A 27,406-nucleotide genomic window follows, 5' to 3' on the forward strand; every position below is an offset into this window, starting at 1 on the left:
CTGTGGTGCAATGGCGCAATCTCAGCTCACTGCAACCTCCCCCTCCTGGGTTCAAGCAATTCTCCTCCCTCAGCCTCCTGAGTAGCTGGGATTACAGGCATGTGCCACCATGCCCGGCTAATTTTTGTATTTTTAATAGAGACAGGTTTCATCATGTTGGCCAGGCTGGTCTCAAACTCCTGACCTCAAGTGATCCACCCACCTTGACCTCTCAAAGTGCTGGAATTACAGGTGTGAGCCACTGTACCTGGCCTCAAGATATGCTTTGAAGGAAGATCTGATAAACTGCTTAATTTTCTGTGCCTTAATTTTATCATTTATAAAATGGGAATAATAATAATACCTACCTTATAGTAGGTTATATTAAGGATTAAATGATAGATGATATGTAAAATTCTCAGCACATTCAATAAATATTAGCTCCTCTTATTGTGAAAAGAGTACTGGGTAGAAAAGAGTAGATCTATGCTTTATTTCAATTCTACCATAAGCTCAAGATATGGCCTCAGTTTCTTACCAGTATAATGTTGGGTTGGGGTGGTGATTATAAGGTCATGGAATAGTAGAGCTGTATGGGGCCTTTGAGATTTTTTTTTGGATTGAGTCTCACTCTGTTGCCTAGCCTAGGGTGCACTGGCATGATCTGGGCTCACTGCAACCTCTGCCTCCTGGGCTCAAGTGACCCTCCCACCTCAGCCTTATGAGTACCTGGGACCATAGGCATGTGCGACCACACCTGGCTAATTTTTGCAGTTTTTGTAGAGACAGGGTTTTGCCATGTTGCCCAGGCTGGTCTCAAACCCCTGAGCTTAAGATTAGCCTCCCAAAGTGTTAGGATTACAGGCGTGGGCCACCGCACGGCTGACCTTTGAGATTATTGATCTCATCCAATCAGTGAGGGAAGAATAGGTAGCCCAGGAAGGTAAAACCGTAGCGTTGAACTTTGTGGCATTATGAGGCTCTGAGAAACTTTGGTTATTCTCAGTATTCCATGACGTTACTGAACATTCTTTTTTAAGGGCTCTTTTAGACCTCTGTCATACCTTCTCCTCATACTTAAGTTATCATATTCCTTTTCTGATCTTTCCTGAGTTCACAGATTTCTCAGGAGCAGGGCAGAGAATATGTCAAATCAACATTTAATTATCTTTCCTGCTTCTCCACATCTGTGTATTCAATGACTCGTACCATTAGGAGTACTACCTATCTCTACTAAAAATACAAAAATTTGCTGGGCATGGTGGTGCACGGCTGTAGTCCCAGTTACTTGGGAGGCTGAGGCAGGAGAATTGCTTGAACCTGGGAGACAGAGGTCACAGTGAGCCAAGATCATACCACTGCACTCTATCCTGGGCAACAGAGAGAGATTCCATCACACACACACACACACACACACACACACACACACACACACGAAGCATATCTTGAATCGATCATTAATTTTTCTCACCAGCATCCTCACTACCATAGTCCAAGCCTATGCCATCTCTCTCCTAGATACCTGTATTCTAACTGCTCTACCTGTTTCCACTCTTGCCCCCTCCCAGTCCATCATCTCTCAGAAGCCAACGTCATCTTTCAAAAATATAAATCAAATTGTTACACTTCTGCTTACACTCTCCAATAATTTCTCATTGCACTTAGAATAAAATATAGACTCCTTTCCATGACCAGGCCTTTATCTGTCTTTCTGACCTCACCTGCTGCCATATTCTTCTGGCGGGTTGTTACTGAAATCCCTGCCTTCACGTTCTTCAAACACGCAGCTTCTGCTGGGCTCCAGCCCTTCACACTGCACAGACTGCTCTTTCCCAGCATCTTTAAACCTCATCATTCAGCTTTCAACTAGAACGTCACCTTCTCAGAGAAATCTTCCCTGCCCATTCAAGCTAAAGAACAATGTGCCTTGTCCCCGCTCACCGCCCATGGCCACCGCTCTATTCCACTATACTAGTTTTTTTTTTTTTAACCTTAAGTAATTATCACGCTCTGAAATTACCTTATTATTTACTTGTTATGTTTTCTCTCCTCCACTAAAATGTACTCCATATGTCAGTCTTAGTTTCTCTAAGAAGCAAACAAATTTAAAATGGGATTAAATGTGCCAGGATTTTTGTCGGGTGAAATGCCTGAGAGAGAAAACAGGGAGGGAGCATAAGTTTGAGAGAGCCCTGAAAAGGTACTGGAAGCTGGATCCTGAGTGAAGGACAGAGGGGAGGAAAATTAGGTTGAAGTGAACTAGACTGCTGTGCAGTCTAAAGAATGCTCAACATGACCATCACTGAGTTTTCCAGCTGTGTCTGCCAGGAATGAACTTGCTTATCCCTACTGTAGTCAGTCACTCTTGGGGAGCAGCCCATGGGAAGCATAGCCTGGTGCAAATGTTACATTGGATTTCAGAGCACAGAATCTGAGGCCCTCAATCAATTTTGCTCCTGTAGTTGGAGATCTCTGAGGTACACTGTCATACCTGCCACACTTTATAAGACCAAGGGCTGTGTTACTCTTCCATTGTCAGTGATTTCCACAATATCTGACATATAGAAAATATTCAAGACATATTTGTGGGATTTATGAATGAATTAACACAAGAATAAAGAATGTTGCCCAAGATCACATAGGTGGAAGAGCAGAATTTAGAAAACAGCCTCTCTAATTTTAGACAGTTAGTGCTCTTGCTGCTTCTTGACTATGCTCACTATATTATACTGCTTCTTACATCGTAAACCAGGGAAAACAAAAAAAATTATGTACCCTTGATTAGACCTTTCAGGTATATTTATGTCCCTTCTGCAACATATTGTCTATAACACAGATTTATTTCTTGGATCTGATCAAAAGGAACAGAAAGGCTTACCCACCATCATGCAAAAGAAATAGTGCTAACCATCTCCCATCCAGCCAAATGTATTAGATACACAAAGTGTAATATGTTTTCTTTAAGTGCAGTTAGAAAGGAGAGAGGAAAAACAAAAGCCCTTCCAGAAGGATTGGGAGTGAGCATTAACTGAACTTTTTTTTTGAGACTGAGTTTAGCTCTTTTGCCCAGGCTGGAGTGCAGTGGCACAATATTGGCTCACTGCAAACTCCGCCTTCCAGTTTCAAGTGATTCTCCTGCCTCAGCCTCCCAAGTAGCTGGGATTATAGGCACCCACTACCACGCCCGGCTAATTTCTGTATTTTTAGTAGAGATGGGGTTTCATCATGTTGGCCAGGCTGGTTTTGAACTCCTGACCTTGTGATCCACCCACCTTGGCCTCCCAAAATGCTGGGATTACAGGCATGAGCCACCGCACCTGGCCAACTGAATTTTCATTAAATGTCATACATAGAAGAGCCATGCATTCATGTTACCTCTGTCTGATACAATAATCAATAAAGTCTGGGATATTTATATAAAGGAGTTGAGTTCTATCACAACGGACAAACATCTAACTTGATCATCTTACAAAAATGCTCAAAACCAGAAAAGACATCTTAAAATAATCCTCAGTTTCATGCAAAACAGGTGAAATAATAGAAACCACATACAATTATTTTTAAATGTTATACTTTGAAGCTGATAGTTTGAGATCAAAGACAGTGGTGAATTGCTTATCTAAAACATCTCCTCAGAAACTTGGATGACAAAAAATAAACAACTTTGTTCTTAGCCTTAATAATTTTTCTTAAAACCAAAATTGGATAGCACTAGTTGTCCATAGACAGAGTCAAATATAGTGAGTAAGTAAAGAAAAACTGTTGGCACGTAAGAGAACCTGATACAGTGACTTGTGTGATCCACAATAGCTCTTTTGCTGTAAATAAATCTTTATTTTGAAACCCTTTTCATTCTATGTAGTGAAGTGGTTTCCTTCTGTATCCTTGACCTGGAGCAAGAGGAGAGTATTATGTATTAGCCTGGGATCTTCAAGTTATTTTGACTCAGGGATTGGAAAGGCTACAGCGGTTGAAGACAGATGAGAAGAAATGAAGTAAGAAGAGATGGTTCTAAATGGTTCTAAAATATCACCATTATTTGCTTAGGTGGAAATTAGGCAAGTGAGAGAGGAGTTAACATGGCGTGAGAGGAAGAGAGGACAGCAGCCTGATGACGGAGGGCTCTGTTGGAGGCAAGTGTAAAATACTTGCTTGCATGCTAATTTTCCCTAATGCAGTTGTTTCTAATCATAGGTTATATACAGATCCTTGAGTTCCACCTTAGACTTACTAAATCAAAATCTCTGCTAGAGCCACTGCTAGCAGGACATGCCCCTACACATGCATAGCTTCCCCCATTACCAACATCTCCCCACAAAGTGGTACATTTGTTACAATTGAGGAACCTCCTTTAGCACATCATAATCACTGGAAGTCCATAGTTCATTAGATTTAACTCTAAGTGTTATACATTCTATGGGCTTGGACAAATGTATAATAGCAAGTATCTACCATTATACTATAATATGGAGTATTTTCACTGCCTTAAACATCCTCTCTGCTCTGGCTATTCATCTCTGTATCCCCCACCCCAAACCCCTGGGAACCAGTGATCTTTTATTGTCTTCTTAGTTTTGCTTTTTCCAGAATATCACAGTTAAAATTTTACAGTATGTGGCTTTTTCAGATTGCCTTCTTTCGCTTAATAATACGTGTTTAAGATTTCTCCATGTTTATTCACAGAGGAATGAAGGTTTGATAGCTTATTTCTTTTTTTTTCTTTTTTTTTTAATTTTCTTTTTTTTAATTATTTTTTATTTTTTATTTTTTATTTTTTGCCAGCACTGTTCTTTATTGCACTAGGGTGCCACCATCTTATTTATTTATTTTTTTTAATTATACTTTAAGTTTTAGGGTACATATGCACATTGTGCAGGTTAGTTACATATGTGTACATGTGCCATGCTGGTGCGCTGCACCCACTAACTCGTCATCTAGCATTAGGTATATCTCCCAATGTTATGCCTCCCCCCTCCCCCCACCCCACAACAGTCCCCAGAGTGTGATATTCCCCTTCCTGTGTCCATGTGATCTCATTGTTCAATTCCCACCTATGAGTGAGAATATGTGGTGTTTGGTTTTCTGTTCTTGTGATAGTTTACTGAGAATGATGATTTCCAATTTCATCCATGTCCCTGCAAAGGACATGAACTCATCATTTTTTATGGCTGCATAGTATTCCATGGTGTATATGTGCCACATTTTCTTAATCCAGTCTATCATTGTTGGACATTTGGGTTGGTTCCAAGTCTTTGCTATTGTGAATAGTGCCGCAATAAACATACGTGTGCGTGCGTCTTTATAGCAGCATGATTTATAGTCCTTTGGGTATATACCCAGTAATGGGATGGCTGGGTCAAATGGTATTTCTAGTTCTAGATCCCTGAGGAATCGCCACACTGACTTCCACAATGGTTGAACTAGTTTACAGTCCCACCAACAGTGTAAAAGTGTTCCTATTTCTCCACATCCTCTCCAGCACCTGTTGTTTCCTGACTTTTTAATGATTGCCATTCTAACTGGTGTGAGATGGTAGCTCATTGTGGTTTTGATTTGCATTTCTCTGATGGCCAGTGATGATGAGCATTTTTTCATGTGTCTTTTGGCTGCATAAATGTCTTCTTTTGAGAAGTGTCTGTTCATGTCCTTCGCCCACTTTTTGATGGGGTTGTTTGTTCTTTTCTTGTAAATTTGTTTGAGTTCATTGTAGATTCTGGATATTAGCCCTTTGTCAGATGAGTAGGTTGCGAAAATTTTCTCCCATTTTGTAGGTTGCCTGTTCACTCTGATGGTAGTTTCTTTTGCTGTGCAGAAGCTCTTTAATTTAATTAGATCCCATTTGTCAATTTTGGCTTTTGTTGCCATTGCTTTTGGTGTTTTAGACATGAAGTCCTTGCCCATGCCTATGTCCTGAATGGTAATGCCTAGGTTTTCTTCTAGGGTTTTTATGGTTTTAGGTCTAACGTTTAAGTCTTTAATCCATCTTGAATTGATTTTTGTATCAGGTGTAAGGAAGGGATCCAGTTTCAGCTTTCTACATATGGCTAACCAGTTTTCCCAGCACCATTTATTAAATAGGGAATCTTTCCCCATTGCTTGTTTTTCTCAGGTTTGTCAAAGATCAGATAGCTGTAGATAAGCGGCGTTATTTCTGAGGGCTCTGTTCTGTTCCATTGATCTATATCTCTGTTTTGCATGCTGTTTTGGTTACTGTAGCCTTGTAGTATAGTTTGAAGTCAGGTAGTGTGATGCCTCCAGCTTTGTTCTTTTGGCTTAGGATTGACTTGGCGATGCGGGCTCTTTTTTGGTTCCATATGAACTTTAAGGTAGTTTTTTCTAATTCTGTGAAGAAAGGCATTGGTAGCTTGATGGGGATGGCATTGAATCTGTAAATTACCTTGGGCAGTATGGCCATTTTCACGATATTGATTTTTCCTACCCATGAGCATGGAATGTTCTTCCATTTGTTTGTATCCTCTTTTATTTCCTTGAGCAGTGGTTTGTAGTTCTCCTTGAAGAGGTCCTTCACATCCCTTGTAAGTTGGATTCCTAGGTATTTTATTCTCTTTGAAGCAATTGTGAATGGGATTTCACTCATGATTTGGCTCTCTGTCTGTTGTTGGTGTATAAGAATGCTTGTGATTTTTGTACATTGATTTTGTATCCTGAGACTTTGCTGAAGTTGCTTATCAGCTTAAGGAGATTTTGGGCTGGGACCATGGGCTTTTCTAGATATACAATCATGTCGTCTGCAAACAGGGACAATTTGACTTCCTCCTTTCCTAATTGAATACCTTTTATTTCCTTCTCCTGCCTGATTGCCCTGGCCAGAACTTCCAACACTATGTTGAATAGGAGTGGTGAGAGAGGGCATCCCTGTCTTGTGCCACTTTTCAAAGGGAATGCTTCCAGTTTTTGCCCATTCAGTATGATATTGGCTGTGGGTTTGTCATAGATAGCTCTTATTATTTTGAAATACATCCCATCAATACCTAATTTATTCAGAGTTTTTAGCATGAAGGGTTGTTGAATTTTGTCAAAGGCTTTTTCTGCATCTATTGAGATAATCATGTGGTTTTTGTCTTTGGCTCTGTTTATATGCTGGATAACATTTATTGATTTGCATATATTGAACCAGCCTTGCATCCCAGGGATGAAGCCCACTTGATCATGGTGGATAAGCTTTTTGATATGCTGCTGGATTCGTTTTGCCAGTATTTTATTGAGGATTTTTGCATCAATGTTCATCAAGGATATTGGTCTAAAATTCTCTTTTTTGGTTGTGTCTCTGCCTGGCTTTGGTATCAGAATGATGCTGGCCTCATAAAATGAGTTAGGGAGGATTCCCTCTTTTTCTATTGATTGGAATAGTTTCAGAAGGAATGATACCAGCTCCTCCTTGTACCTCTGGTAGAATTCGGCTGTGAATCCATCTGGTCCTGGACTCTTTTTGGTTGGTAAGCTATTGATTATTGCCACAATTTCAGATCCTGTTATTGGTCTATTCAGAGATTCAACTTCTTCCTGGTTTAGTCTTGGGAGAGTGTATATGTCGAGGAATTTATCCATTTCTTCTAGATTTTCTAGTTTATTTGCATAGAGGTGTTTGTAGTATTCTCTGATGGTAGTTTGTATTTCTGTGGGATTGGTGGTGATATCCCCTTTATCATTTTTTATTGCGTCTATTTGATTCTTCTCTCTTTTTTTCTTTATTAGTCTTCCTAGTGGTCTATCAATTTTGTTGATCCTTTCAAAAAACCAGCTTCTGGATTCATTAATTTTTTGAAGGGTTTTTTGTGTCTCTATTTCCTTCAGTTCTGCTCTGATTTTAGTTATTTCTTGCCTTCTGCTAGCTTTTGAATGTGTTTGCTCTTGCTTTTCTAGTTCTTTTAATTGTGATGTTAGGGTGTCAATTTTGGATCTTTCCTGCTTTCTCTTGTGGGCATTTAGTGCTATAAATTTCCCTCTACACACTGCTTTGAATGCGTCCCAGAGATTCTGGTATGTTGTGTCTTTGTTCTCGTTGGTTTCAAAGAACATCTTTATTTCTGCCTTCATTTCGATATGTACCCAGTATTCATTCAGGAGCAGGTTGTTCAGTTTCCATGTAGTGGAGCGGTTTTGAGTGAGATTCTTAATCCTGAGTTCTAGTTTGATTGCACTGTGGTCTGAGAGATAGTTTGTTATAATCTCTGTTCTTTTACATTTGCTGAGGAGAGCTTTACTTCCAAGTATGTGGTCAATTTCGGAATAGGTGTGGTGTGGTGCTGAAAAAAATGTATATTCTGTTGATTTGGGGTGGAGAGTTCTGTAGATGTCTATTAGGTCTGCTTGGTGCAGAGCTGAGTTCAATTCCTGGGTATCCTTGTTGACTTTCTGTCTCGTTGATCTGTCTAATGTTGACAGTGGGGTGTTAAAGTCTCCCATTATTAATGTGTGGGAGTCTAAGTCTCTTTGTAGGTCACTCAGGACTTGCTTTATGAATCTGGGTGCTCCTGTATTGGGTGCATATATATTTAGGATAGTTAGCTCTTCTTGTTGAATTGATCCCTTTACCATTATGTGATGGCCTTCTTTGTCTCTTTTGATCTTTGTTGGTTTAAAGTCTGTTTTTTCAGAGACTAGGATTGCAACCCCTGCCTTTTTTTGTTTTCCATTTGCTTGGTAGATCTTCCTCCATCCTTTTATTTTGAGCCTTTGCGTGTCTCTGCACATGAGATGGGTTTCCTGAATACAGCACACTGATGGGTCTTGACTCTTTATCCAATTTGCCAGTCTGTGTCTTTTAATTGGAGCATTTAGTCCATTTGCATTTAAAGTTAATATTGTTATGTGTGAATTTGATCCTGTCATTATGATGTTAGCTGGTTCTTTTGCTGGTTAGTTGATGCAGTTTCTTCCTAGTCTCGATGGTCTTTACATTTTGGCATGATTTTGCAGCGGCTGGTACCGGTTGTTCCTTTCCATGTTTAGTGCTTCCTTCAGGAGCTCTTGTAAGGCAGGCCTGGTGGTGACAAAATCTCTCAGCATTTGCTTATCTGTAAAGTATTTTATTTCTCCTTCACTTATGAAGCTTAGTTTGGCTGGATATGAAATTCTGGGTTGAAAATTCTTTTCTTTAAGAATGTTGAATATTGGTCCCCACTCTCTTCTGGCTTGTAGGGTTTCTGCCAAGAGATCCGCTGTTAGTCTGATGGGCTTCCCTTTGAGGGTAACCCGACCTTTCTCTCTAGCTGTCCTTAACATTTTTTCCTTCATTTCAACTTTGGTGAATCTGACAATTATGTGTCTTGGAGTTGCTCTTCTCGAGGAGTATCTTTGTGGCGTTCTCTGTATTTCCTGAATCTGAACGTTGGCCTGCCTTGCTAGATTGGGGAAGTTCTCCTGGATAATATCCTGCAGAGTGCTTTCCAACTTGGTTCCATTCTCCCCATCACTTTCAGGTACACCGATCAGACGTAGATTTGGTCTTTTCACATAGTCCCATATTTCTTGGAGGCTTTGCTCATTTCCTTTTATTCTTTTTTCTCTAAACTTCCCTTCTCGCTTCATTTCATTCATTTCATCTTCCATTGCTGATACCCTTTCTTCCAGTTGATCGCATCGGCTCCTGAGGCTTCTGCATTCTTCACGTAGTTCTCGAGCCTTGGTTTTCAGCTCCATCAGCTCCTTTAAGCACTTCTCTGTATTGGTTATTCTAGTTATACATTCTTCTAAATTTTTTTCAAAGTTTTCAACTTCTTTGCCTTTGGTTTGAATGTCCTCCCATAGCTCAGAGTAATTTGATCGTCTGAAGCCTTCTTCTCTGAGCTCGTCAAAGTCATTCTCCATCCATCTTTGTTCCGTTGCTGGTGAGGAACTGCGTTCCTTTGAAGGAGGAGAGGCGCTCTGCTTTTTAGAGTTTCCAGTTTTTCTGTTCTGTTTTTTCCCCATCTTTGTGGTTTTATCTACTTTTGGTCTTTGATGATGGTGATGTACAGATGGGTTTTTGGTGTGGATGTCCTTTCTGTTTGTTAGTTTTCCTTCTAACAGACAGGACCCTCAGCTGCAGGTCTGTTGGAATACCCTGCCGTGTGAGGTGTCAGTGTGCCCCTGCTGGGGGTTGCCTCCCAGTTAGGCTGCTCGGGGGTCAGGGACCCACTTGAGGAGGCAGTCTGCCCGTTCTCAGATCTCCAGCTGGGTGCTGGGAGAACCACTGCTCTCTTCAAACTGTCAGACAGGGACATTTAAGTCTGCAGAGGTTACTGCTGTCTTTTTGTTTGTCTGTGCCCTGCCCCCAGCGGTGGAGCCTACAGAGGCAGGCAGGCCTCCTTGAGCTGTGGTGGGCTCCACCCAGTTCGAGCTTCCTGGCTGCTTTGTTTACCTAAGCAAGCCTGGGCAATGGCGGGCACCCCTCCCCCAGCCTCGCTGCCACCTTGCAGTTTGATCTCAGACTGCTGTGCTAGCAATCAGCGAGACTCTGTGGGCGTAGGTCCCTCCGAGCCAGGTGCGGGATATAATCTCATGGTGCGCCGTTTTTTAAGCCCCTCGGAACAGCGCAGTATTCGGGTGGGAGTGACCCGATTTTCCAGGTGCGTCTGTCACCCCTTTCTTTGACTCGGAAAGGGAACTCCCTGACCCCTTGCGCTTCCCAAGTGAGGCAATGCCTCGCCCTGCTTCGGCTTGCGCACGGTGCGCGCACCCACTGACCTGCGCCCACTGTCTGGCACTCCCAAGTGAGATGAACCCGGTACCTCAGATGGAAATGCAGAAATCACCCGTCTTCTGCGTCACTCATGCTGGGAGTTGTAGACAGGAGCTGTTCCTATTTGGCCATCTTGGCTCCTCCCCCCTTATTTCTTTTTATCACTGAATAATATTCCATTGTCTGGTTGTACCAGTTTAGTTATCCACTCACCTGCTGAAAGATATCTTAGTTGCTTCCAAGTTTTAACAATTATCAATAAAGTTGCTATAAACATCTATGCAGAATTTTGTGTGGATATCAAGTTTTCAACTCCTTTGAGTAGGTATCAAGGAGTGCAATTGCTGGATCATATGATAAGACTATATTTAGTTTTGTAAGAAACTGTCAAACTGTCTTCCAAAGTGGCATTCCCATTAGCAGTACGTGCGAGTTCTTCTTGTTGTTCCACATCCTCACCGACATTCGGTGTTGTCACAGTTCCAGATTTTAGCCATTCTAATAGGTATATAGTGGTATCTTGTTTTGGTTGGAATTTGCATTTCCCTGTGGGCATCTTTTTATATGCTTATTTGCCATCTGTATATCTTCTTTGGTGAGATGTTTCTTAAGGGCTTTGGCCCATTTAATTGGGTTGTTTGTTTTTTAATTGTTTAGTTTTAAGAGTTCTTTGTATATTTTTAATAACAATCCTTTATCAGATGTGTCTTTTGCAAATATGTGGCTTGCATTTTTATTCTTTTGACATTATCTTTTGCAAAACAGAAGTTTTAAATTTTAATGAAGCCCAACTTATCAATTATTTCTTTCGTGGATCATGACTTTAGTGTTGTATCTAAAAGTCATCACCATATCCAAGATCATCTAGGTTTTCTCCTATGTTATCTTCCAGGAGTTTTTTAGTTTTGTGTTTTGCATTAGGTCTATGATTCATTTTGAGTTAAATTTTATGAAGGGTGTAAGATCTGTGTCTAGATTAAATTTTTTGCCTGTCGATGTCCAGTTGTTTCAAACTCATTTGTTGAAAGACTATCTTTACTTCATTGTTTGCCTTTTCTGCTTTGTCAAAGATCAGTTGACTATATGTGGGTATATCTCTAGGCTTTCTGTTTAGTTCCATTGATCTATTTGTCTAGTCTTTTATCAATACCACACTGCCTTGATTAGTGTAGCAAGTATTGAAGTTGGGTAGTGTCCATCCTCCAAATTTGTTCTTCTCTTTCAACATTGTATTGGCTATTCTGGGACTTTTTGCCTTTCCATATAAACTTTAAATTTAATTTATTGATATCTTAAAAAGTAACTTGCTGGGATTGTAATTGTCACTGCATTTAGTCTATAGATAAAGTTGGGAAGAACTGACATCTTAACAATATTGAGTCTTCCCATCCATGAACATGGACGGCCTCTTCATTTATGTAATTTTTAAAAATTTTGTTCATGAGAATTTTGTGCTTTTCCTCATGTAGATCTTGTCCACATTTTGTTAAATTTATACTCACATATTGCATTTTGTGGGTACTATTGTAAATAGTGTTGTATTTTTAATTTTCAATTCCACTTGTTTATTGCTGGTACACAGGAAAATAATGAACTTTTGTATATTAACTTTATATCCTGCAACCTTGATTAGTTCCTAGATTTTTGTTGTTTATGTTTTCAGGTTTTCTACATAGAGGATCATGTCATCTGCAAACAAAGACAGTTTTATTTCTTTCTTCCCAATCTGTATATTTCTTATTTCCTTTTTCTTTTCAGTCTCATTTTATTAGTTAAGACTTCCAGTACAGTGTTGTAAAGGAGTAGTGAAAGGAGACATCCTTACCTTGTTTCTGATCTTAGTGAGAAAGCTACTAGTTTTTCACCATTAAATATGATGTTAACTATAGATGCTTTTACAGATATTCTTTATCAGATTAAGGAAGTCCCCCCCATTCCTAGTTTATTGAGAGTTTTTAATCATAAATGGGTACTGGATTTTGTCAAATGCTTTTTCCTTTTCTATTAATATGATCATGTGATTTTTCTTTTTCAGCCTGTTGATATAATGAATTACATTAATTGTTGTTCAAATGTTGAACCAGTCTTGCGCACCTGGGTCAAATCCCACTTGGTCATGGCGTATAACTCCTTTAATATACTGTTGGATTTAATTGGTAATATTTTGTTGAGGCTTTTTCAGAAATAGATATTAATCTGTAGTGACCCACATATTTAACAGTTTTAGTGAGATAAGATTGACATACAATTGAGTGTATATATTTAAGTGTACAGTTTGTTTACACCTGTAAAGTCATCACCACAATTGAGATGATGCACACATCTATTAGTCCAAATTTTCCTTGAGCCTTTTTGAAATTTCTCCTTCCCATCTTTCCCTGTTTCTCTTTTTTTAATCCCCAGGCAGTAACCAAACTGCTTTCTATCAGTTTAGTTTGCATTTTCTAGAATTTTATGTAATGGGAATAAAAATGTATATTCTTTCTTTTGTCTGGCATCTTTCACTAAGCATAATTAATTTCATATTCATCTATATTCTTATTGTATTGGTAGTTTATTCCTTTTATTTGCTAAGTGGCATTCCATTGTGTGGGCATTCCACTTTGTTTATCCATTCACCAGGTGATGAACATTTAGGTTGTTTCAAGTTTTTGGCTATTACAAATAAAGCTTCTGTACACATTCATGATATGTCTTTGTAGGGACAGATACCTTCATTTGTCTGGGGCAAATACCTGGAACTGGAATTGATGGATTATATGATAGATGTGTGCATTAGTTTTAAAGAAACTATCAAGCAGTGTTCCACAGTGGTTATACCACTTTACATTCATACCAGCAATATATGAGGGTTCTAGTTCTTCCACAAACCAAATAACACTTGATTATAATATATTATCATTTTCATGTGTTGCCAGATTTAATCTGTTAAAATTTTGTTTCAAATTGTTGTATCTGTGCTTATGAAGGATATTGATCTATAGTTTTCTTGTTGTGTCTGTGTGGTTTTGGCATCAAGTTAATGCTGTCCTCATAGAATAAATTGGGAAATACTTTCTCTTACTTAATTCAATTTTCTGCAACAGTTTGTGTAGATTTGGTATTATTTCTCCAGTAAATATTTGAAAGTTCCACCAGTAAAGCTATTTTGGAGCTGGTTTTTTTCTTTGTCAGAAGTTTTTAAACTACAAATTTAATTTATTTAATAAAACTATTAATGTTACCTGTTTCTTCTTAGATAAACTTTAATAGTTTGTGTCTTTTAAGAAATTTGTTCACCTATGTTGATGAATTTATAGTTGTTCAAAATACTCCCTTATTACCCTTTTAATCCCTGTAGAATCTGCAGTGATGTCACCTCTATTGTTCTTGATATTGATAATTTGTGTATATTATCTCTTTTATTTTCCTGATTAGTTTGGCTAGATGTTTTATAATTTTTTGATCTTCTCAAAGAACCAGTGTTTACTATTTTCTTTTTTCTATTTTCCTTTCTATTCTATTATTTCCTTTCTTCTGCTTACTATATTTTCTATTTAATTCTTTTTTCTATTTACTTTAGGTGAAATTTGCTCTTCTTTTTTTAGTTTCTTAATGTGGAAACAGATCTTTGATAAAGTTATTCTTCTTCTCTAATACATGTGTTTAGTGCTATAAATGTCTCCATAATTACTTTTTTGTAGCATCTCATTTTAGTAGCATCAAATTTGATATATTGAATTTGTATTTTAATTTTATCCAAAATACTTTCTTAGTGCCCTTTTGATTTATTCTTTAACCCTTGGACTACTTAGAAGAGTATTAAGCTAATCAAATTTATTTAATAATTTCTCAATATTTGGGGATTTTTCAGAGATCATTGTTATTGATTTATAATTTAATTACATGGTTGTCAGAAAACATACTTCAAATGGCTTGAATCCCTGCAAATCTATTGAGACTTGTTTTATGATCTAAATATGGTCTATCATATGATTTATCTTGATAAATGTTTTTTGTGCCCTTAAAAAGAATACATATTTTGAGACTTTTAAGTGGACTGTTCTATAAATGTCAATTAGGTCAAGTTGATTGATGATACTATTTAAGTGTTCTATATCTTTAATGATATTCTGTCTACTTGTCCTATCTATCAATTATTGAGAGAAGAGTATTAAAGTCTCCTGCATTAACTGGGGATTTGTCTACTTATCTTTATAGTTCTGTTTTTGCTTTATGTGTTTTAAAGTTTTGTTTTTTTATATACAAACTTTCAGGATTGCTTTGATGAGTTAACCTCTTTATTTTTATGAAATGACCTTATTTATCCTGGTAACATTTTTTGCTTTGCAGTCTACTTAATCTGATATTAATATAGCCATCCTAGCTGTCTTTGACTCATGTTAGAATGGTGTATATTTTTACATTCTTTTACTTTTAACCTTTTTGTGCCTTCATATTTAGAGGGCATTCTTGTAGGTAGCATATAGTTGGGTCTTCCTTTGTAACCACTCTGACAATCTCTGCCTTTTATGGTGTTTAGAAAATTTACATCTTTTATGATTACCAATATGGTTAAGTTTACAACTATTATCTTGCCATTTGTTTTCTATTTGCTCCATCATTCTTTTACCTTTTTTCTTTTTCTGCTTTATAAAATCATTTTTTGTTATTCCACTTATCTCCTTTGTTGGTGTGCTTATTTTCTTGTCTTTTACTGGTTGCTTTAGGGTTTATAGTATATATCTTTAAGTTATCACAGTCTATCTCCAAATACCACTTTAGGTATAGATGTATAGTATAAGAGCTTTGCAACAATATATTCCATTTTGCCCTTCCTGGCCTTTATCCTATTGTTGCCACATATTTTACTTTTATATATGTTATTAATACCATACTACATTGTCATTATTTTTATTTAAACAGTTAAGTATATTTTTAAAAGATTTAAATAATAAGATTATTATTTACTCATGTAGTATCATTTCCTGTGCTTTTCATGCCTTTGTATAGATTCATATTTCCATCAGGTAGCATTTTCCTTCTGATTGAAGTACTTCTTTCAATACTTACCATAGTGTGGGTCTACTAGTGATTAATTATTTCAGCTTTTGTATGTTTGAAATAATCTTTATTTTACTTTTAATTTTCAAAGATATTGTTGCTAGGTATACAGAATTCCACATTTACAGGGTTTATTTTTCTCTTTAATACTTTATACTTTGTGATATTGTTCTATTGTCTTCTTACCTGCATTGTTTTTCATGAGAAATCTGCTGTCATTCTTTATAATTATCCCTCTACTTTTTCTGTGGCTGTTTTTAAGATTTTATCTTTATCAGTTGTTTTGAGCAATTTGATTATGATGTTCCTTGGCATTGTTTTCTTCATGTTTATGTGCTTGGGTTTAATTTAGCTTCTTAGGTCCATAGAGTTTAGTTTTATAAAATTTGGAAAATTTTTGGTCATTATTTCTGCAAATATTTTGCCCTCCCCTTATGAAACTACTCCAATTGCAAATACATTAGACCATTTGAATTATCCCACAGCTCAGTTATTATCTGTTCATTTTATTTTATTTTATTTTTTCTTTTAATTTTTTTTATTATTATTATTATAATACTTTAAGTTTTAGGGTACATGTGCACAACGTGCAGGTTTGTTACATATGTATACATGTGCCATGTTGGTCTGCTGCACCCATTAACTCATCATTTAGCATTAGGTATATCTCCTAATGCTATCCATCCCCCCTTCCCCCACCCCACAACAGTCCCTGGTGTGTGATGTTCCCCTTCCTGTGTCCATGTGTTCTCATTGTTCAATTCCCACCTATGAGTGAGAACATGCAGTGTTTGGTTTTTTGTCCTTGCAATAGTTTGCTGAGAATGATGGTTTCCAGCTTCATCCATGTCCCTACAAAGGACACGAATTCATCATTTTTTATGGCTGCATAGTATTCCATGGTGTATATGTGCCATATTTTTTTAATACAGTCTATCATTGTTGGACATTTGGGTTGGTTCCAAGTCTTTGCTATTGTGAATAGTGCCACAATAAATCTTTCAATGTTTTATTTTGGATAGTTTTCTATTAAACTGTCTTTGAGTCCATTTACCTTGACTTTTTAAATTTCCAATCTGTAGTGAATTCCATTCAGTGTACCATTTATCCCAGATATTGTTCTTTTTATTTCTGGAAATTTTGAGTCTTTTTTATATCTTTCATATCTATACTTCACTTTTTGAATATATGAAATGTAGTTATAAAAACTGTTTTTAATGTCCTTGTCTTTTAATTTTAATATTTGTGTCAGTTCTTGGCTGGTTAAAATTGATTTTTTTTCCTCCTTATCAAAGATTATAGTTTTCTGCTTCTTTTTCATGCCTAGTAGTTTTTTATTGTATTCTAGACATGGGGAAATTTTCTTTCTTGGATTCTGGATATTTTTGTATTCCTATAATTATTGAGCTTTATTCTAGGATGGATTTAAGTCACTTGGAAACTATTTAATCCTTTTGGGTCTTGCTTTTATGATTCACAAGGTGGGACCAGAGCTGTGCATATCATAGGGCTAATTATTCCCCACTAATAATCTGGTTGATGGATCCAGGAACGAGTCCTATACCTGTGTGAGCAGTACTCAGTATTCTTTCCTTTAATTCTTTTGGTGGTTACATTCCTAGCCTTAGGTAGTTTTCTCACATGCATGTGCTGATGAGTACATGAGAAGATAACCATAACCATCACCACACACTGGCTTCACACTAAACTTCTCTTATTTTCTGAAAATAAAATCACAAATCAGGCACAATATCATTGTGACTAAGTACTTTACTGTGATTCTGAATTTACTGATAGGTTTCATCAGTATGACTTTTAATGATAGTTAAATTATTTTTGCTAGGGAAAAATTTATTCCATTCTTTTTTTTTGTTTTTGTTTGTTTGTTTTTTTGCTCTGCATCTCAAGTAAAATCCTATTGTTTGGCTGGTGAGTATGGTCTGCAAGCTGGGGTTAAGACTTGGAACTGAAATGCTCACGCAATAGGCTTTGGTAAGGAATTGTAAATTGAGAAAAAGAAGAGACATGAGAGAGCTGTCTGTACTGGAGGAAATTTGGAGAAACTGATATGTGTAATGGCAAAATGTGTAAGGCATCTGTGATGTGAATCATCTTACTTGTCAAGCCTCAAACCTTCAGTTTAAACTCTGTTATTCACCAAATTTCCATTTTGGAAATTAATTTTTGTTTCAGCAACATGATATAATAATTAAACTCGCCTATTGATGGCACAGGTTGAAAACAGGATCCCTAGGCCAAAGATAGCTGTTCATATACTTATTAATATTATGATTGCATACTTACTTAAAATAATGATTATGTGGAGGCTGAGGCAGGAGGATTGCTTGAACCCATGAGTTCAAGTCCAGCCTAGGCAACATAATAATAATAATTATTATTATGTGCAGTCAAATGAGTGATTCTCTTCTAAATTGCAGAAAATGAAGACTTATTTTCTACAGAAATCGATAGGGGTGTTCTGCGTACTGAGAAAACAAGGGTAGTGTTAGAATGTAAAATGAGTAATTAAGCAAAAGTCTGACTATTCAATAAATGGAACTCTGCAGCACTTTCCTCTACTCTGCTCCCAGAATACTCTAGACAATTGTATCTGCTTTTTGCAGCAGATTTAAGGATTCTTCTCTGAAAAGACTGGAAATCCCATAGAAAAGTCCTGCAGTTACCAATGTTTTAGGGTTCCTGAACCAAAAAGTTAGTCACTTTCTGATTACCCTACTATAAGGCCCACAAGTTAACAAGCCCTGCACAGACACAAAGAATATGCAACCAGCTTTCTAGATCTCATTCTGAAATATGAATGGACAATCGAAAATCATCAGATGAGCCTCAACATGAAAAATAAAAATCAAAATCAAAACAAGGAAAAAACTTGAAAAAATAGATGCAGAGTAAAGAAACTATAACTAATATCTTCAGAGAGAGATAAGTGAAGATATTATATCCATGGAACAGTAATTTGAAAATCATAACCCATTCAGATGAACAGTAAAAGCCAATGTACTGGAATTATCTTCATTCTACCTGGCATTTGGGGATATCCAAGGACCTGTGCTTTTAACAAAGATGACTTTATGACTGTCTAAGGATTGAACAGATTCCTGTACAGGTTGCCTGGTTTCAAGTTATATTCTCTTAGTATAAGCTCTCTTTTCTGAATGTAAACCTATTTGCATTGTTATTTCTAAAACTCCAGTAGGTTTCTGGATATTGTAAAGATACTGAGTACAGATACAATTGTGTAAATTTTATAGTGTTTAATTTTGAGGTAAGAGTTTTGTTACAGATTATAAAAGATATTTTCCTATTCAGACCTCAGGGCTATTTTGGGACCTACAAATAAATGTGATTCCCAGCATCTTCAATTTTTGATATTCAAAAAGTTAATAATCTATAAGTTAAATATGTGACATTATTTAGCAAAAAGAATGTGCTTTCCTTTTAAATTTCTAACAAATTATGTATCTAATGTTTAAAAATATGAAAAAAATGTGATAATGCAAAAATGTGGGAGAACTGTGGCTAAAGAACAAAAAATCACTTGCTAAATAAAAAAAGAAAACAAGGATAAATCAGAGTACATAAAAGAATTTTTAGGAAAAATAAAGTTTGGACAAAAAAGAAAAACTCAATAAAGTATCGGAATGTGAAGTTGAGGATATTTTCCAGAAAGCAGGATTTTAAAAAGCTGAGATAGAAAAAAGAAAAGAAAACATTTTAAAAAAATTAAAGAATCACCTGGGAGGTCCAACATAAGACTAATAGGAATTTTAGAAAGAGAAAATGACAATGTAGAATTTTTATTTTTTATTTTTTTAGACACATGGCCTCATTCTGTCACCCAAGCTAGAGTGCAGTGGTACAATCACAACTCACTGCAGCCTCGAACTCCTGGGCTCAAGTGATCTTCCTGTCTCAGCCTCCAAGTAACGAGGACTACAGGTGCATGCCACCATACCCAGCTATGTTCCTTTCTATTTTTCATAGAGACAGAGTCTCATTATGTTGCCCAGGCTGGTCTTGAACTCCTGGGCTCAAGCGATCCTCCTGCCTCAGCCTCTTGAAGTGCTGGGATTACAGATGTGAGCCACTGCACCAGGTCAAATTTTTTATTTTTAGTCCATAGACAGACACAAATTTCCAGAATGAAAGAGTCTATTGTGTTACCTACAATTTTGAATGAAAATGGGAAAAAGGATTCATGAAGGAACGTAGTGAAATTTTCAATGCTTAAATTTCAAAAATAAATTAAACAAATGAACAATAGCAACAACCAAAACAGGCAACAGTCAAAGATTGTGAATAAGAAAGGCACAAAACTTTAAAAGCCAGAAAACAGTGAAGCAATGCATTAGAAATTCTGAGGGAAAGTTATCTTCTATTCATGACTATGAAGCTTGAAGTAGATACTATAGAATAAAGGTGTTTTAGCCACATAATACTGGAGGATATTCTTCATCACAATAAGAGGTTACACCAAGACAGAGGAAGGTGTGAGAATGGTTCCAGCACAGGAAATCCTAGAGAAAATACTCAGAGACATAGAAAATGCCTGTTCATGGGAAATGCCTAAAGAAAACCAGTCAAGAGTTTTCCTGTCGCTGCTTGGTAACAATGGGGAAGATAATGGCTGCCTGAGCAACGTCTCCAAGCAGGCGCTAGGCTAGAGGCGGGTCTCAACCAGCTACTTATTGGAGGCGGGCTTGAGAGCTGCGGCCAGGGAGGTGCGGAGCAGCTTCGGAGGCAGCGGCCGAACCAACCGAGTCGGACCCTGACCCTCAAACCTGGTAATTTTCCACTTGTTCATTAATATGGAAAACTCAGTTTCTAATGACAAAGGAAGTGGTGATCAGTCTGCAGCACAGTGCAGAAGTCAGATGGACCGATTGGATCGGGAAGAAGCTTTCTATCCATTTGTAAATAACCTGAGTGAAGAAGATTATAGGCTTATGGAGATAATAATTTGCTAGGCACCCCAGGTGAAAGTACTGAGGAAGAGTTGCTGAGAAGACTACAGCAAACTAAAGAAGGCCCACCACTGCAAAACTCAGGTGAAAATAGAGGAGGAGACTCTTCAGATGATGTGTCTAATGGTGACTCTATAATAGACTGGCTTAACTCTGTCAGACAAACTGGAAATACAACAAGAAGTGGGCAAAGAGGAAACCAATCTTGGAGAGCAGTGAGCCGGACTAATCCAAACAGCGGTAATTTCAGATTCAGTTTAGAGATAAATGTTAACAGTAATAATGGGAGCCAAAATTCAGAGAATGAAAATGAGCCATCTGCAAGACGTTCTAGTGGAGAAAATGTGGAAAACAACAGCCAAAGGCAAGTGGAAAACCCACGATCTGAATCAACATCTGCAAGGCCATCTAGATCAGAACGAAATTCAACTGAAGCATTAACAGAAGTCCCACCTACCAGAGGTCGGGGAGGGCAAGAAGCAGGAGCCCAGACCGTGGGAGAGCCAGAGCAAGAGCTGAGAGAAGTAGGTCACCTCTGCATCCAATGAGTGAAATTCCACGAAGATCTCATCATAGTATCTCATCTCAGACTTTTGAACATCCTTTGGTAAATGAGATGGAGGGAAGTTCTAGAACCCGGCCCTGTGTGACATTGAGACAGCAAATATCTGGGCCTGAGTTGCTAAGTAGAGGTCTTTTTGCAGCTTCTGGAAAAAGAAATGCCTCTCAAGCAGCAGGTTCTTCAGACACAGCGGCCAATGGTGAATCTACAGGATCAGCACAGAGACCTCTAACCATAGTCCTTGATCTTCAAGTAAAAAGAGTTAGTCCTGGAGAATATCGGCAGAGAGATAGCATAGCCAGCAGAACTCGGTCTAGGTCTCAGAGGCCAAACAACACTATCACCTATGAAAGTGAGCGAGGAGGTTTCAGGCGTACGTTTTCACGTTCTGAGTGGGCAGGTGTGAGAACCTATGTCAGTAGCACCAGAATCCCCATTTGTAGAATCTTAAATACTGGTTTATGTGAGACTACATCTGTTGCAATTCAGACGATGTTAAGGCAGATAATGACAGGTTTTGGTGAGTTAAGCTATTTTATGTACAGTGATAGCGACTCAGAGCCTACTGGCTCAGTCCCAAATCAAAATATGGAAAGGGCAGAGTCACGGAGTGGAAGAGGGGGTTCTGGTGGTGGTAATAGTTCTGGTTCCAGTTCGAGTTCCAGTTCAAGTTCCAGTTCCAGTTCCAGTCCTAGTTCCAGTTCCGGTGGTGAAAGCTCAGAAACTAGCTCAGATTTATTTGAAGGCAGTAATGAAGGAAGCTTATCATCAGGCTCATCAGGTGCCAGGCGAGAGGGTCGACATACGGCCCCAGTCATATTTCATTAAAGTGGCTCTTTGCCCTTCCTAGCCTGGCTCAGTTTTCCTCTTAAATGAGGATGATGATGACCAACCTAGAGGACTCACTAAAGAACAGATTGACAACTTGGCAATGAGAAGTTTTGGTGAAAATGGTGCATTAAAAACCTGTAGTGTTTGCATTACAGAATATACAGAAAGCAACAAACTTCGTAAACTACCTTGTTCCCATGAGTACCATGTCCACTGACTGCATCGATCGCTGGTTATCTGAGAATTCTACCTGTCCTATTTGTCGCAGAGCAGTCTTAGCTTCTGGTAACAGAGAAAGTGTTGTGTAATTAAGATCTGAACTCTTAGCTATGTAGCTGATATAGTGATGGGCAAACAGGAATCACTTGCTTTTATGTCCACTTTTTGAGTGGTACTTAAATGTAAAGTAACAACCTGAATTGAGTCGTTGCTTTCTGAGGTAATCATTGTCCTTTCTCCAGTTTTTGTTCCAGAATAAAAGGAAATATTTTAAAAGCCACGTTTTAGGACATAAAAATCTGATTTCCATACCAGTTAAATTGGTAGCATCACTGTTACTGATAGTTTATCATATACACTTGTCAATTTTTCCTTTGTTATCTTAAAAGATCTGCCTTAGCAATGGCTCCTGTTTCATGTTGATCTTTAAATTTTCTCACGCCATACAGAGAGGGGTGAAGGAAATTACCAGTTTAGACTAAGTTACAGTATGTGTTTCATAAGTGATTAAAGCTATACCATTCCCAGTTATTAGCTGACACAAATTCAGCCACATTCTGAATATTTTTTGTTCACCTTTCAGACTTTGTAATACTGGACATGTCAGTGTAAATAACACTAAGGTTAGGATCTTCTAAGTGTATAACTGTCGCCTAAGCCCATCACTGTGGCACACTGTAGAGTGAGCTTATAGTTTGAGGTATTTATCTTGTGGAAATATTAAAAAGCCTATACCTGTGTAAGTGAAAAAAATCACATTCATTTGTTTAAAAATGTAAAGCTATTTTGTAGAGGCTCAGTACTTTTCCAATGCATTTTTTTTTTTTTACTATTATTATACTTTAAGCTTTAGGGTACATGTGCACAATGTGCAGGTTAGTTACATATGTATACATGTGCCATGCTGGTGCGCTGCACCCACTAACTCGTCATCTAGCATTAGGTATATCTCCCAGTGCTATCCCTCCCCCTCCCCCCACCCCACAACAGGCTCCAGAGTGTGATGTTCCCCTTCCTGTGTCCACGTGTTCTCATTGTTCAATTCCCACCTATGAGTGAGAATATGCGGTGTTTGGTTTTTTGTTCTTGCGATAGTTTACTGAGAATGATGATTTCCAATTTCATCCATGTCCCTACAAAGGACATGAACTCATCATTTTTTATGGCTGCATAGTATTCCATGGTGTATATGTGCCACATTTTCTTAATCCAGTCTATCATTGTTGGACATTTGGCTTGGTTCCAAGTCTTTGCTATTGTGAATAATGCCGCAATAAACATATGTGTGCATGTGTCTTTATAGCAGCATGATTTACAGTCCTTTGGGTATATACCCAGTAATGGGATGGCTGGGTCAAATGGTATTTCTAGTTCTAGATCCCTGAGGAATCGCCACACTGACTTCCACAATGGTTGAACTAGTTTACAGTCCCACCAACAGTGTAAAAGTGTTCCTATTTCTCCACATCCTCTCCAGCACCTGTTGTTTCCTGACTTTTTAATGATTGCCATTCTAACTGGTGTGAGATGGTAGCTCATTGTGGTTTTGATTTGTGTTTCTCTGATGGCCAGTGATGAGCATTTTTTCATGTGTTTTTTGGCTGCATAAATGTCTTCTTTTGAGAAGTGTCTGTTCATGTCCTTCGCCCACTTTTTGATGGGGTTGTTTGTTTTTTTCTTGTAAATTTGTTTGAGTTCATTGTAGATTCTGGATATTAGCCCTTTGTCAGATGAGAAGGTTGCGAAAATTTTCTCCCATTTTGTAGGTTGCCTGTTCACTGATGGTAGTTTCTTTTGCTGTGCAGAAGTCCAATGGATTGTTGTATGAATGCATTAAAAATTGTAAAGTACCATGCTTAGAACTAAGAAAACTGCTTTTTGTGAACCAACACAGTAACAAACACACCAAACAAAGTACAAAGCTGCTTTTGTAAGTGTGTAGATGTCAAGAGTAGAACATATCTATAAGATTTAATGTATGTGAACAGCTACTGTGACAGGCAAAGGAAACGACAGTGCAGAATCAAACTGTGTTGAAGACCAGTGGAAACTGCATAATTTAACTTGGATTTAGGCGGAAATGAAAGATGGGAGGAGTAAAGAAAACTGCTCTGAAGAATTTAAAGTTTTCCTGAAGACAGTAATAATGCAGACACAAACTGCTTTCATATCATGAGAGCAGCCACAGCAGCAGCTTGACCTGGTATTCTACCTGAGTAGATGAAGCAGAAGATCGGCAAGTTTGGCAGAGTTTTGGTTTAAGAAAAACAAACCACTACCACCTAGCACAAGTTAAATTGATGTTTTTACAAGTCTGCTCCTCAAAAATGAAAAGATGGACGAAAGAGACCATAAAACCACTTTTAGCATATGAATTGCAGTTGGTACACATGTGTGTGTTAATAGGAAAGTCTCGAATTTGTGTTGTTTTTGAGATTTGACATTTAAGGTACCAGTGCACACTTGATAATATTTCATTACTATCTCTAACACAGACCTAACATCTCGAATTTAAAGACCAGTTGAAGATTAAGGGATTTTTATCCTTTGTCGAAAGTGAGTCATGTTGGGTTATTTGAAATTCCAATTTTAATTGTGCTGCCCATATATGAAAATGAGACCTGCTGATTCGCTATCTATGGACATGAACTTTATGTTGGTTTCTTAGTAGTAAGAGTAATTTCATGATAACCCCAGTCCTCTTGCCTAATTTCTTTTTTGAGGCTAGTTGGGGTTAGGATTAGAATGACTATGCAGCAGATATTTGTTCTTCTGGGAAAAGCTTTAACAGGCCAAAATAGGGATTGAACTTGTCCTTGGCCTTTATAAAAGCAAGCTAGCTACCCAGACATAGTCAAATACTCTACAAAATAAGCAAGTCTGCTTTAGGAATTGTCTGGCTACCTTCACTGTTATCAGCTTAGCTGTAAAGCTTATTTCAAAGCTCACTCTTTCATGATTTCTCCTGGCTTTCAATCCTACCTAAGTATCACGGAAATTAACTTGTAAATATGGTAGTTGTTTACTAAGGATATGTACTGCTCTTGCAAGGGAATAATGTCCAAACAAAGCTTCACTTATTTTTTTTTTTTAATATAAGCAGATTTCACTTTTATGGCGCTAATGTAACACATTTTACCTTTTTTTTAAAAAAAATAAGATAAAAGAAAACCAGTCAAGATTAAAACAAAAGAACTCCTGGATGGAGACCTGTGTAAACAAACAAACAAACTAATGCATCTGGCTATGTGAAAAATAGAATGAAAATGAGGTTTTTTTTCCATATCTGTCATTATATTTAGAGAAAATTATGCATCTATTTTATACTGGTACATAGAAAACTAAGCAAATAAAAGAATGAAGTAATAATAAAGAAAAACAAAATTTGTATAAAAAGAAACTATTTTAGTACTCTCCCTGCCTAATAGTGAAGAATATTTACATAGACATTATAACACAAATGTAAAATATTTATTTAACAAACATGGTGCTATTAAATTGATAATACCAATTATTACATGGATAAATTGGAATAAAAGGGTGTAAGGTATGGAAGAGAAGTAGGGAGAACAGAAAAATTCTCATCTGCAATAACATGATGGCAAGAGATTATATCTAAAATAGGTAAATATAAAGATGAGTATAGACACAATAGTTACAAATATGAAGATAGATTTCAGAAGAGAAAGCTAAGAAACAATACTGAGACATGAGTAAGGGTATAGCTTGGGACTACATTTTTCCTTGATAAGCCTCATGGCACTGTTTAACCTTTTAAACTATGCATTTATTGTTTTTATAAAAATAAAAATGAATTTTAGATAGACTAAAATTATCACTAATCTCCACTACTATAATGTTGATAGGAAACTTCCTAATGTACCTTCTTTGTTGGGTCACAATACCTACTAATAACTCTTTCATTACTTATAAGATAGAGATCCCTAGACACTTGTATCAGTTAGCTATTGCTAGGTAACAAACTTCCCCCAAAATTTAGTGGCATAAAGCAATGAGTATCTATTATTGCTCATAAGTTGATGGGTCAGCTGGATACTTTTCATTTCCTTAGGGCTCACTCATCTATCTGATATTAGCTGTGGGTCAGTTAGGCATCTCTGCTGCTATAGGCAAGGTTCTCTCACATGTTTGGGGATTGCAGGTTCTTCACTGCTCTAGGATGGAATTGGCTAGAACAACCATGTGGCTCTCTGCCATATGGTCTCTTATCCTCCAACATGTTAGCTGGACTCATTCACCTGGCAGCTTTCCAGGGTTCCAAGATAGCGAAAAGGGGTTCAAAGACTCTTGAGTCTAGGCTCAAGATTGGCAGTCCGTTACTTCTGCCTCATTCTGTCAGTCGGTGCAATTAGTAGGCAAACCCAGATTCAAAGAGTAAGGGAATAGATTCCATCTGTTCATGAGAGGAGCTGTAGTCATATTGAAATGGGTATGGATATGGGAAAGGACAGAGAATTGTGACCATTTTTGCACTTAGTCTCCTTTACCACTCAAAGAAAGTCCCACTTCCCTTCCTACAAGGCTTTTCCCAAGTTCATACACATACATGCCTCTATGTCCTTGCTTTACCCAAAAGGCTTTTCCTGCCTTCTACATGACATTCAAAACTCCTTCCATCCATTCAGACTATAGGTCAAGTTTCTTTTCTCCTTTTAAGCCTTTCCTGGCCTTTCTAAGCCTTTTGTGATCTCCTATATTGTCAGTATCATTCATTTGCCATTTGATAATTTATTGCTACCATGGAGATATCTTAGCCTTGAACTAGGCCATACCTTCCTTAATGACAGGAATTGTGTCTTATGATGTTTTGACAAATACTACCATCTGCCCAGAAGACTGTCCATAAAGAAGGAATGAATGAGTAGACAATCAGACTACCTCCTCTAACTTGAGACAAACTATCTGCCTACATAAAACTGGAAGAGCAGATAATTGGAAGCTATAAAGAGATAATGCAAGGGAGTTTTGGGGGAGATGAAACTGATCTGTATCCTGATTATGGTCATGGTAACACAAATCAACATGTTAAGATTCATAGAATTGTATACCAAAAGGAAAAAAAAAAGTAAATTTTACTCTATG

At 37.5% G+C, this 27,406-nt stretch overlaps 1 pseudogene; it reads left to right on the plus strand.

The window, feature by feature from the left end:
• The first annotated feature begins 20,336 nt into the window (after positions 1–20,336).
• Positions 20,337–22,587, plus strand: RLIMP3 (ring finger protein, LIM domain interacting pseudogene 3; annotated as a pseudogene).

Source organism: Homo sapiens, chromosome 15 (assembly GCF_000001405.40).
Source record: "Homo sapiens chromosome 15, GRCh38.p14 Primary Assembly".
Classification (NCBI taxonomy): Eukaryota; Metazoa; Chordata; class Mammalia; order Primates; family Hominidae; genus Homo; species Homo sapiens.